The 12,320-nt window shown below is 32.5% G+C and overlaps 1 protein-coding gene and 1 non-coding gene across 13 annotated transcripts in view; both read right to left on the reverse strand.

Moving 5' to 3' along the window:
* The window catches only part of LINGO2 (leucine rich repeat and Ig domain containing 2), a 1,275,985-nt gene that overhangs the window by 918,843 nt on the left and 344,822 nt on the right, over positions 1-12,320 (reverse strand). The gene's annotated exons all lie outside the window — the stretch shown is intronic.
* Positions 7,167-7,247, reverse strand: MIR876 (microRNA 876). The gene has a single exon (NR_030597.1). It is a non-coding gene; the product is annotated as a microRNA 876 (primary transcript).

Below are 12,320 nucleotides of genomic sequence, written 5' to 3' on the forward strand. Positions count from 1 at the left end.
TCAGAGAGGACTTATCTGGACTGTCCCCAGAGAAGTAACATCTGAACTGAAGACTGAAGAATGGGTAAAATTTAACTAGAGAAACAAGTGAGAAAGGAGAGTTATGAACAGATGAATTAACTTCTGCAAATGTCCTGAGACTAGAGGAAGGATAATGAATGGAAAGTAAATCACTGTGACTAAAGCCCAGGGAAAGACTGGAAGTAGGCAGTACTAAATTTTAGGTCACATAAAAGATTTTGGTCATTAACTTTTGAACATATGGGAAATTACTGAAGCGTTTTAAGGAGGAGAATAAAATAATCAGATTGACACCTAAATAAAATAGATGAAGACAGACCACTTAGAAGGGTATTGCAGTAATCCAGGAGGAAATGATATTAGTCTGGCTAAACTGATGATAGTAGAAATACAGAGAAGATATAGATGGATTTAAGATATGTAGTAAAAATTATCTAATCACGTTTGGTGATGGGAGATGAAGGATGACATCTAAATTTTAGGCTGCACCTGTGTACCGATGTTGATTCTTGTCAGAGAAAATGCATAATCACTTTTTTTCTGTTATTTGGAAGGGTACAGAATTCAAGGGAAGTGACTCTGAGTTCTAGTTTAAATATGTAGATTTTGAGATACGTTTGAGCAGTCTAAGTAGATCTGTCAGGGATTATTTGGGTTTGGAAACAAGAAGTCTGAGACCCAGATAAAGTCTGTTAATTGTTATAGAGAAGAGAATTGAAGCCCTTGGAACAGATAGAATTTTCTAGAGAAAGTATAGAAAAAACAAAGGAGTCTAGAACTGAGCCTTGAGAGAATCCAACATTCAAAAGCCACGTTACAACAACAAAAGCAATTACTAGCTGTGTGTTTTAAGCCTTTATTACATGTTACTTATAATTTAGCCCTTGTTTTATATGAACGTATTTCTGTTCATAACAGCTTTATGAGATAAATATTATTTTTCCATACTGGGGCAACTGGGGTGTAGGGAGGATAAGTGACCAGCCTCAGGTCACCTACAGGGATTAAGTGGTAGAACTCCGCCTTCCAGGCAGTCTGATTCGAGAGCCCATGCTCATAACTACTACCACCTGACAGGTACTTTAGGCAGATTGGCAAAGGGGCGTGAGCTAGACACATAAGGATCTAAACTCACATAAGCATTTGTCCTCTAGATCTGCAGTGTTAAATGCCATAGCGATTAGCCACAGGCAACTTAAAATCATATGAAATATGGTTAGTCCAAACCGAGATATGCTGTAAGTGTAAAATATGTATAAAATTCTTAAGACTTAACATGAAAAAAATATAAAATTTTTTACACTGATTAAATGTAAAAATATTAACATTTTTTACACTGATTGTTGAAAATATATTTTGGATACATTGGATTACATAAAATATATTATTGAAATTAATTTCACCTATTTCTTTTAATTTTTTTAATGTTTTAAATTAATTGAAGTTGATTTAAAATAGAAAATTTAGATATCGTATGCGGCCCGTTCAACATCCCTGTTCTAGATATCTATCCCATTTGGTCTCTGGATTCTTAGCATTGGATAAACACTACCAAACATTCTAATGTATCTTCTTCGACACAGGTATCACATTCAGGACTGAGCTCCAGCTTGTCCCTCAGGCTGTCAGGACCTGCCCTCTGTGGTGTTTCCATGGTAACCTTGCTTTAGGAAGAGAATGATGCTTTTAAAATCTGAGTCCTAAAGATTTCGCTTCTCTGGCTTTATGTTATTTAATACTGATTTTATGGTTATCTCTTTTGTTCTTCTCTAAGAGTGTCTAGGATTTCTGACTTCACAGATTCTGGTTTACTGGTTGTCAGGCAGATGAACATTTAAGAATCACTTGGGAAGTTTTCTCAAATTATGCAATCCCATCACCCTGGAAGATTTTATATGTGCTCCTGACCCCAATGTAGAACTACTGATCTAATTTCTCTACTGTCTGATAAATGAACTTACTGCATTATAACCACTATATTTTCATTTTTGTTTTCCTTTTACATCTTCAGCCCAATATCATACCTGCTTTGTTTATCTGCTAGTCACCAAAGGTCTCCATTTCTGTCCCCCCGTCGCAGCTCTAAAATGCGGGTTTCATCCGGCTTGCAAAGATGACTATCAGATCAGATCACTGGATCAGGATAATGGTTACTTCAGAGTCACACATTTAGTTCATATGAAAATACCCATCTGCCTACCTAGGAGACCTCCACTTGACATATCTGTTTAGAGAAAACTTTTCCAAAATGAGCACATAAATATTTCATGATAAACCCCAGATAAAACTGAGAAGTGAGTTTCCTCACAGGCAATAATGCATTTTAAAAAAGAATTGAATGGGAAGGTTATGATTTAGATTTTTAGGGAGAATAAAGGTAAACATTTCCCAAACGTAGCTCTTGTGATTTTATTATGATTACTCTGAAATTTCCCCTTGCGTGTTGCAAAGCCTCATGAATGTGACTAGTGAGTGTTTTGCAGGCAGATCGTTATGTCATAATATACAGCAGAGATTTAGAAGTTAGGGCACTTTCATTCCTTTATCTGTAAAATGGAGCAATAATATTCAACTCAGAAATTAAATGTCATGATACAAGTAAAGTACTTGGAAATAAGATCTCTTTACATCTTAGTTGTTTTTCTGAAGGAGAGTAATTTTCAAGAATTTAAAGTTTTTTACTTTTCCCAATTCTTTCTGCTTACAGTTTGCTATATTATTTTCTAAAGCAAAATTGCAGAGATTTAGTTTACTTCTTTAATTATTATTTGGGGAACAGGCTGTAAAAGTACAGGATCTCAAGAAGACAAAATTAGGACACTGATTACAGTGCTGCTCAGTTACACCACTTAAGTATACCCACATGAAAATAAAAGGTTGATATTCTACTAACTGCTAATTAGTACGCAGCTAATATCTTCAGAATCTGAGTAATTCAATTGAAGTACTTTTAAAAATATGCATTCAAATGAACTGGAACTTTTTAAAACTCAGATTCCTCATAGACAAAATATTTCCCTTATTCTAAGTATTTCACTCACATTTGATATGACATCTATTTATCTTATTGTGATTCCCTAATTTTTTGTCACTTCATTAATTTTTAGGTAAAATGATTGCTTTACTTGTTTGGAATTTTGCCATGAATATCATAGATGCATTAGGAGACCTTTTCATTTAAATCAAAGCTAGGATCAGGAACTATGTTAGTAGTTAAAAATGTTTTAAATATGAATATTTTACCATTCTTCAAATCAATTTTTAAAAATTATAATATTCAAATTTTATTCACTTATTCAGCAAATATATATTTTGGTACGTGCAGTACACCAGGAACTGTAATTTCACAACATAATATATAAAATGAGAATTCCATAAAAGTGAAAGAGAAATATGTAATAGTAAATATTTTAAAAGGATGCATTTATTTAAAAATATTTAAACTCCACAAAAATGAAACTCAAATATTGAAGACATGACTAGGTTACAATTATTTCTACAGTTCTTCTAAGTCAATAATGTTTTAGTAGAAGTATTCCCTGAAGAAATATTCATAAACTAATTGAATTTCCAATAAATTAAATAAAACATAAATATTTTAAATTTCACATTCCCATAGAAATATGTGGAAAATAATTAAGAAAATCTTACAAAGAACACCAACTTATTGTTTGAAAATCAAAAATTTATTTCATTGGAAAAATACCATTTTTACTGTGAAGATTAATTTTATTTGTCAACGTGACTGCACCATAGTGCCCAGATATTTGGTCAGACATTATGCTAGATATTTTTGTGAAGGTGATTTTTGGAAGAGAATAACATCAAAATTGGTACCCTTTGAAATAAAACAGATTTCCCTCTATAATGTGGGTAGGCCTCACCTATAAGTTGAAATCCTTAATAGACAAAGACTGACCTTCCCCATGCTTGAAATAATTTTGCCAGAAGATTAGATTGCACTTGGACTTGAACTGCAAATCTGCCCTGAGCCTCCAGACAGCTGCCCCATCTCATCGGATTTTGGACTTGCCATGCTTCCACAATTATGTGAGCCAATTACTTATGATAAATCCCTCTCTCTATAGATAGAAGAAAGATAGATAGATGGATAGATAGATAGATAGTCTTTATTTCTCTCTCTATATATAAAGATGCATATATATAATCTGTCATGTATAGTCATATATATATTTCATATATATATATATATATGCATAATCCACTTCTAAAGAATGAAACATAACAGGACAAAATGCAGTCAAAATGAATACAATAGATATAGTCAATGATGATGCAAAAGCAATTTCCGAAGTCTGTATCACTGTCACTTAGTTGTACAAATGTGTCACTTAAGAAACTAAAGGTCAGAAGTTTTCAGAGTTCTGACAGTCTTGTGGTCATAGCATTGAAGTTAAATAAGACTTAAGCTCTAGCCTTATAAATAAAAAAAGGTAAAAAATAATATATATAATATATTATATATCATTAATATATAAATCTATAATATATTATATTTATTAATATATAATATAATATATTATATAATACATATTATTAATATATAAATGTATAATATGTATTATTAATATATAAATATATAATATAAATTATATAAATATATAAAATATATTTATATAATATAAATTATATAAATTTTTATATAATTTATATTATATAAATATATAAAATATATTTATATTAATATATTTTATATATTATATATTTTTTATATAATATTATATAAATATATAATATATATTTTTTATACAATATTATATAAAATATATAATATTTATATATTATATATTTTATATATTATATATTTTATATAATATACTATATATAATATATATTATTAATATATATACATATTTAATATATATATACACACAAAAATCTTGTTGGTTCTGTTCTCTAGAAAATTCTCACAGATAACATTCATTTAAACATATCTATTCTCATATAGTTCTCACAGAAATTAGGGAAGCTTGATATTACCTTGTCCATAACAGGAGACCTCAGGTTCACTTTGAACACATGTTCTACTCATAACTGCACTCAAGCATGAGTATCTAGTGAGATTGTGTTGCTACAAAAATAAAATAAAATAAAATAAAACAAAATAAAATAAATTAGCTGGGCATGGTGGCAGGCACTGTAGTCCCAGCTCCTCAGGAGACTGAAGTGGGATGATTGCTTGAACCCAGGAAATCAAGGCTGAAGTGAGCTATGATTGCACCACTGCACCCCAGCCAGGGCAACATATGTTTTTTGTCTCTTACCAAAAAACACAAAACCTACACTAAAAATTAATTCATTGTTTGTAAACCTGTATTTATCTTAAAAATAAAAAAAGCGGTAGTGAAATAAATATAAAGAAGTTGGGATTAAAATTAGGATACAAGGATATAGGTACATGATTATGAGATATGCTTATTAGTCCATTAGCACATCCCATTATATCTCCCGTAAACTAAAAATTATCTTAAGAAAAAATATTGTGACTTCCTTCTAAATTCATATATCAGCAGTTCTACATATTATCATTAAAAACATAAGCTTCGGCTCAAAGGAAATTTTACAGGTGCCCCCTTTCATAAAACAGAAAAATCAAAGAGCTCTAGGACAAATTAATTTCAGAAACCTGTCTTCTCAGACTCTTTTCCCACCTGTCCTCACACATCAGCAAAGTAGCACCCAACAAAAGCACAGGAAATCCCAGAGCTCTGTGGATTTTGCTTATGAACATACAGTCCTATGAAAAATAAGGTTACATATGTATCAGACAAGGAATGGTAATAATAAATACTGAAGAATTAAAGGCTAGGAAATAAGAATAACATGTTTGTATCATAGTTCAAATTAAATTAGAGTAGCAAGATATTTCTTAGGTAAAGCATTTCCAATCATATTTATACACATATATTTTAAGGTTAAAAGTATACATATTGATTCATTCTTTTGGTCATTTATATGTTGAAAAATAATATACTGATTTTCTTTTATCTAACAGAAGGGCTTAAAAATTAGTATGCTAATTTATTTAAAGTCACCCAACCTTATAGAGCATATGCATAATCCACTTCTAAGGAATGAAACATAACAGGACAAAATAAAGTCATAATGAATACAATAGATATATTCAATGATGATGCAAAAGTAATTTCAGAAGCCTGTACCACTGTCACTTAGGTGTCCAGATGTGTCACTTAAGAAATTAAAGGTCAGAAGTTTTCATAGTTCTGACAGTCTTATAGTCATACCATTGAACTTAAATAAGACCTACGCTCTAGCCTTGGAAATAAATAAAAAACGGTAAAACCAAAATGACTATTTGAAAGCTTAATCAGTTATTAAAATAGTTAATCATCAATTGTTTGATTTATGGTCAGGGATAATCCATTCTTGGTAATCCTGATGACAGAAATGACCACAAAGTTCCATTTATTTTAATAAGCAATTACTAGTCAACAATTAGGCTTTTGTGACCTTGTAAAGGTTACACAATCTTTTCTGTCATAGAATAGGACTATAGATACTGTTTCCAGAAGAGTAAATGAAAATGAATGCCCAGTGAATACCTAATTTTAATATATGCCATCAAAATGTACAATTTGGTATGTTAAGGTGATTTTTTTTGCCCACACCAATGTTTTTCTTGTTAAAATAAAATGTTGCTTTTTACAAAAGTACTGCATAACAATGATGTCTTCAAGCCCCTGATCATTTACCAAACTATTTAATTAATATATTAATTGGGCATAATAATCCAAATAAAATATGATATTTAAACTTCAAAATGGTATGCTTAGGATTTAAGGGGCTGATTCAATTAATGTTTCTGATGTATCATGTTTTTTTAACCAAGAAATATTACAAATTACTTTTCAAAAAAAGAACAGTAGAGACAGAGACAGCAACTATGTAAAACATGTATATTTAGGTAAAGTAACCATAATTTCTGGTGTGTTTGACACAGGTTTGATCACTGTTAACACTAAGCACCAAATAGAAGGATTCTAGAGTATATTTACCAGGGATCTCTTGACTTTGTGTGTCTTGTAATACAAAGTGGCTTGTTCTCAATGGCTCAGTAAAGGAATCTTAGGCTTCATGGTGTAGATCAACTGCAGAAGCACCTGTGAAGCACTATGAATTACTTTGTAAACCACCACCACATTAGCTTAGATATGGTGATTCACAAAGAAATCCACAGCACTTCACAGTTTGTGTAAAGCCTGGTACCTATGAACCAACAAAAACAGTACCCTTTGGCCACCAAAAGTTGAGGAAGTATTTCCATCTAGTTCACAATCAATTGAAGAATATGCTCAGTTTTGCACCACCCTCTTTTAGCTGAAACACACAAGAAACACTGAACATTTATTTTAAGTAAATAAAACTTAAAAATAAATGCATGCTTTCTATATTATATACCAGTAAATTTCATTTAAAAGAATTCCTAATACAATAACTAGCATGACATTATGCAGGATGAAAAAACAGGGTTCTGCTCATCAAAATAAAAGGGCATGGTTATTAATATAGATGTCAGGAGTAGGGAGTAGAATAAATAATAAAACTATATGTAATTCTCACATCCATATCACAGTATATAAGTGTTGCTGGGATAATTTGTTCTAAAGATATCCTCAGTTACTTAGCTTCCCACTTTATACTCATATAATCTCATATCCTATGACACAAGCTTACCAATGTTACAAATCTGCCCTTGTACCCCTGAACTTAAAATAAAAGTTCAAAGGCAATCATTAAATGAGTTTAACCTGAGTGTTTTTTCCTCTGATATTTGTCCAAGTAAGTATTTTTTCATATGACTGCTGAAGTCCAAGAATGTTTATAAAACTAAATTCTATATTATACATATTAGGTTCAACTCTGAAAGAAAACCACACCAATAAAAAATGAAAAACAAACAATAAAGTTACTCTCCTTTGCAAAATAACCAGAATCCCACCTTTTAACTTTTATCTAAAGAGCAAAAAGAAAGGTTTCATTTATAATTAATGAAAAGAATCTATAAATCTTCCCAGCCTAGTAAGCATAATATCAATCAAGTAATTCATGCTTTTGAAAATTTCAACATTTTTCAAAGTAACCATCAAATGTCAACATTAATTAAAAGTTTGCTTTATAGAAGCTCATGAACATAAGAGTCCTAGGCAGTTCACCACTGTCAGTGTAGGTCACTGCTCAGGAATACCCTACTCACCTCCACCAACCACACATATAACAACCAAGCCAAACTTGCTAAGTATCTGAATAATTAAAAATATTTAAATAAAAAATTTGTAGAAAATATGTATGTATGAAAAAAAAATATTTGTTTTGCGCTTATCATGTGCCAGGCATAGTCTTGGTTAGATGCTGGGGATATAAAAACTCCAGGTTTCAAGAAATACAAAGGAGAAAACAAGAATTTGAAAAAAGCAGTAATAGGTGTTATGAAAAGTTTCCATATAGGGCTAATGGAGACATGGAGAGGCCACTTAATTCAGTGCTAAGAGCGTTGATTACAGATGTCTTCTCTAAGGGAATACCATATATAAGAGAACTGAAAGAGTAGCAGGAATTAGCAATGAGAAGGGTGGGGTAAGTGTTCTAAGCAGAAGAGAACACATATACCACGGCCTATCCAAAGAAATAACGTGATTTTTATTTTATTTTTTGGTATACTATAGCTGAAAAGGAAAACTGCTGCTACAGTTAGAGTAGGTGAACACAAGTGAGCATCACCAGATCAGAGGCAGCAGGGACAGAAAAATTTGAAGTAAGAGAACTCCAGAATAATGAGGCAACCTGTCTGAAATATGGGCAGAGTAAAGGAGCAGTTATACAAAGGTCCTCCAGCTCTTCATCAAGTGTCACACTCAATCCCAAACTGGCCCAGGCAAAACCTCTTGAAGAATCAGGCCAGTTTCCCCAGTGAAATTCAGGCATACTAGTTGGGTGGAATACATTTAGAGTTTGACATGGGTTTAAAAACAAATCACCCTGGCCGGGTGTGGTGGTTCACGTCTGTAATCCCAGCACTTTGAGAGGCCGAGGCGGGAGGATCATGAGGTCAGGAGATCGAGACCATCCTGGCTAACATGGAGAAACACCGTCTCTACTAGAAAAATACAAGAAATTGGCCGGGCATAGTGGCTTGCGCCTGTAGTCCCAGCTACTCGGGAGGATGAGACAGGAGAATGTCTTTAACCCGGGAGGCAGAGGTTGCAGTGAGCCAAGATCGTGCCACTGCGCTCCAGCCTGGGTGACAGGGAGAGGCTCTGTCTCAAAAAACAAAACAAAACAAAGAAACAAAAAACAATCATCTCAACTTAAAGAGATCTTAAGTGGCTCTTTGAATAACCATTCCAATCCAAATGTAAAATTAAGTTGATCCAATAATAATAGTGAAATAATCCAGGGTGTGTTTTTACAATATTTTATACCTCTTGTTGCTATTCTTTCACTAAACAAGACAAATATGCTCTCCATATGTAGCACTCTATGTTAGTCGGGTACTTGGCTTTGCTTGGTTTGTGAATCTGAATGCAAGAAAACTTCATGCAAGTCCCTCTTTAGACAGCATTCAGCTAATTTAGAAAATTTTCCCACATTTTCTGTCAAATATGCTCTCTATTTTATATAAGTAGATAAATGATATGCACTGAGAATGAAATGTTCTGGTTGAACTAATTTTCCGGTGCACTGATTATTAGAAAACACCATTTTTTCAAACTCTTGCACTATTTAACTTCAAAAATAGGCAGTTATTTTATAATGAATTACCATATTGAATGCTTTATTGTATTTTTTTAAGGTTATCCAGAACCCCTGTGTCATTTTCTACTTGTGGTCAACATCTCTGTTAATAACCGTGCATCAGTTATTCCATCTATGCTTGTGATTTGAAAAATAAGGTCCCTAACCCCAAAGGAATTCAGAGTACCACGGGGCATACAAAGTGATTCTGAATCTGCAATTAGGAACTATAGCATAAACCCTATAATCAATGCTATGAAAGGAATATTTTCCAAGTTCTAAGGCTGCAGAGAGGAGGAAGGCCAACACCCAGGGCACCCAGGGCAGAGAAGAAGGGTGGTGTGAATTAGACTTAAGTGCTACACAATATGGTACATTGCAGGCAGTTACAGGATATGAAGTAGATTGATATTTTTGCTTTTGCCAAAAAATTCTGAGTGCTGTTAGTGTGAAAATCACTAATGTGAGCATGAATTCATATAATTAACTTTATTCTCTTACTCTTCTATCACCGGGGGGTAAATTCCAGCTAATGGAGAATTCTTTTTAATTGGGCTCCAACTAGGCATCAGGTTTATTAGAGGACAGACGTCGTTGGTGGGGTCTTAAAGTGAGTAACTTAGTTCTGATTCAAAAGTATAAACAGAAATTTATTCTGTACTATAGTTTATTTTCTAGATTCATCCTTATTTCTTAGAATCTTGTATCTTACATTTTTCAACCCACACAAGCAAGAAAACTGAAATAAAACAAATAAGGTAGAGATAATATCAAAATACAGGCCATAATATCAGCTCTATTTAAAATAACTACTGCTGGTGACAGGAAGTAAAACAGCTGCAGAACTGACAGAGGAATCTGCAGTTAAGGGCTAAATCACACCACTAATATGACAAATGCTGCTGGTAAACTGAGTGGGAAGGCAAGTTCAGAAGGAAGCCTGCATCCTTTCCTGGTGATGAAAGCTAAAAAGAATGAAAATAGTAGAGCAAGTAAAATAATACAAAATAAAAATAGAACAGGAAATGAAAAATGCATATACAGTAAATACAATCCTCCTACTGGTTATTTTTTTCTCCCTTTTCTCATAAAATCTCTCTTTTGCCCTGAAATATTGAAAATAAACAATGCAAGTCAGGGTATAAAAGCAAGTGATTGCTAACAATAATAAGCAAGTGCTAGCCATAGCTGAGCTAAATATGTGGCAGGCTCTATGTCTTTCAAGTAAAGAAAAAAAAAAAAAGAAGACAAACTCTTACCCCTACTGCACCAATGTAAACATTTGCCATAAATTACAGAGAATCACAAAGTTATTGGAATTTTAACTATTTTTTAAAAAGAAAAACTTTCATTATCAAGCACCCATAAAGCATGTGTATTACTTCATTTATTTCTGATTTCTGACAACAGACAACACATAATCCCTGCCTTCAACACGTGGCAGTTGAGGCACACAAAAAAGTGTAATCTGTCCAAGGTTAAACAAATGTTTAAATAACAGAGCTAGATTTGTCTAAAAGCTCATGTTTTGTCTTTGCCCCATAACGTCCCAGTATGCAACATTACCTATAGTGTTTGTGAAATATATAGAGAAAAGAAAATTAGGTAAAAACATAAAGTTTGAATTATAAATTTTACACAGAATCAAATATACATTTGCCCTACAATGAAACAATTCTTTTACCCAAAAATAATAAAACATATTAATAATACTTAAACATTTTGTAAAAGCATCCAGTTTACTTAAGACAAAGTTTTCAGGATTTTATGTAAAATATCCATTTATACAAAAATAGATAATATCTCAATTACAAATCTTTCCTTTCTTACTCATTATAGGTGATCCCTAGAGGCTTGGAAGAATGTTGTTAACCTAGTGTGTGTCGTTAACTTTGCTTACACTTAATAAAGTCTCCTGCCTTCAGAAGTATACTATGACTTATTTGCCTTCAGCTGAATATGCCTTTCTGTGAATAAGTCCTCATTGATGACATTTGATTTTATACTCCAGGAAGTATTTTTCAGTCATTGAAGGGTTTAGTTCACTGTCAAAGATCATTTGTCTAAGCAGTAATATCTAGAGATCCAGTTTATAAAGTGGACCTCTACATTTACTCAGAGACTACATAGAATAGTGAGTGAGTGAGTGAGCATGTGTGTGTGTCTGCATGCATGTGGTTATGTGTGTATGTTTTCTCTTTTGTTCTCCCTGCTTCAAGATTGATGCCTTTCGAAAGTGGCATCATGGGTAATTTTCTGTCATCTGAGAGATAACTCATCCTACTTCAAATCTGTCCACATAATAGTCCAGTGTTTTGTAGGTAAATTTAATTGTTTAGTTATTTGAAGAGAATAAATGAGTGCCCCTTTGGAAAGGGAATGAGAGAACAGAAAACAAATAAGCATTTTAAAAACATGTAAACTTTCAGTGCTTATTATTTCTCTCATTAATGAAAATCTTATATTTGGAACAGCAGTTCAGCTGAGTAACTGCAAACATAATTTGGTTCCTGTGGGTTGAGTTT

The sequence above is a fragment of the Homo sapiens genome, chromosome 9 (genome assembly GCF_000001405.40).
Source record: "Homo sapiens chromosome 9, GRCh38.p14 Primary Assembly".
In the NCBI taxonomy this organism is placed as follows: Eukaryota; Metazoa; Chordata; class Mammalia; order Primates; family Hominidae; genus Homo; species Homo sapiens.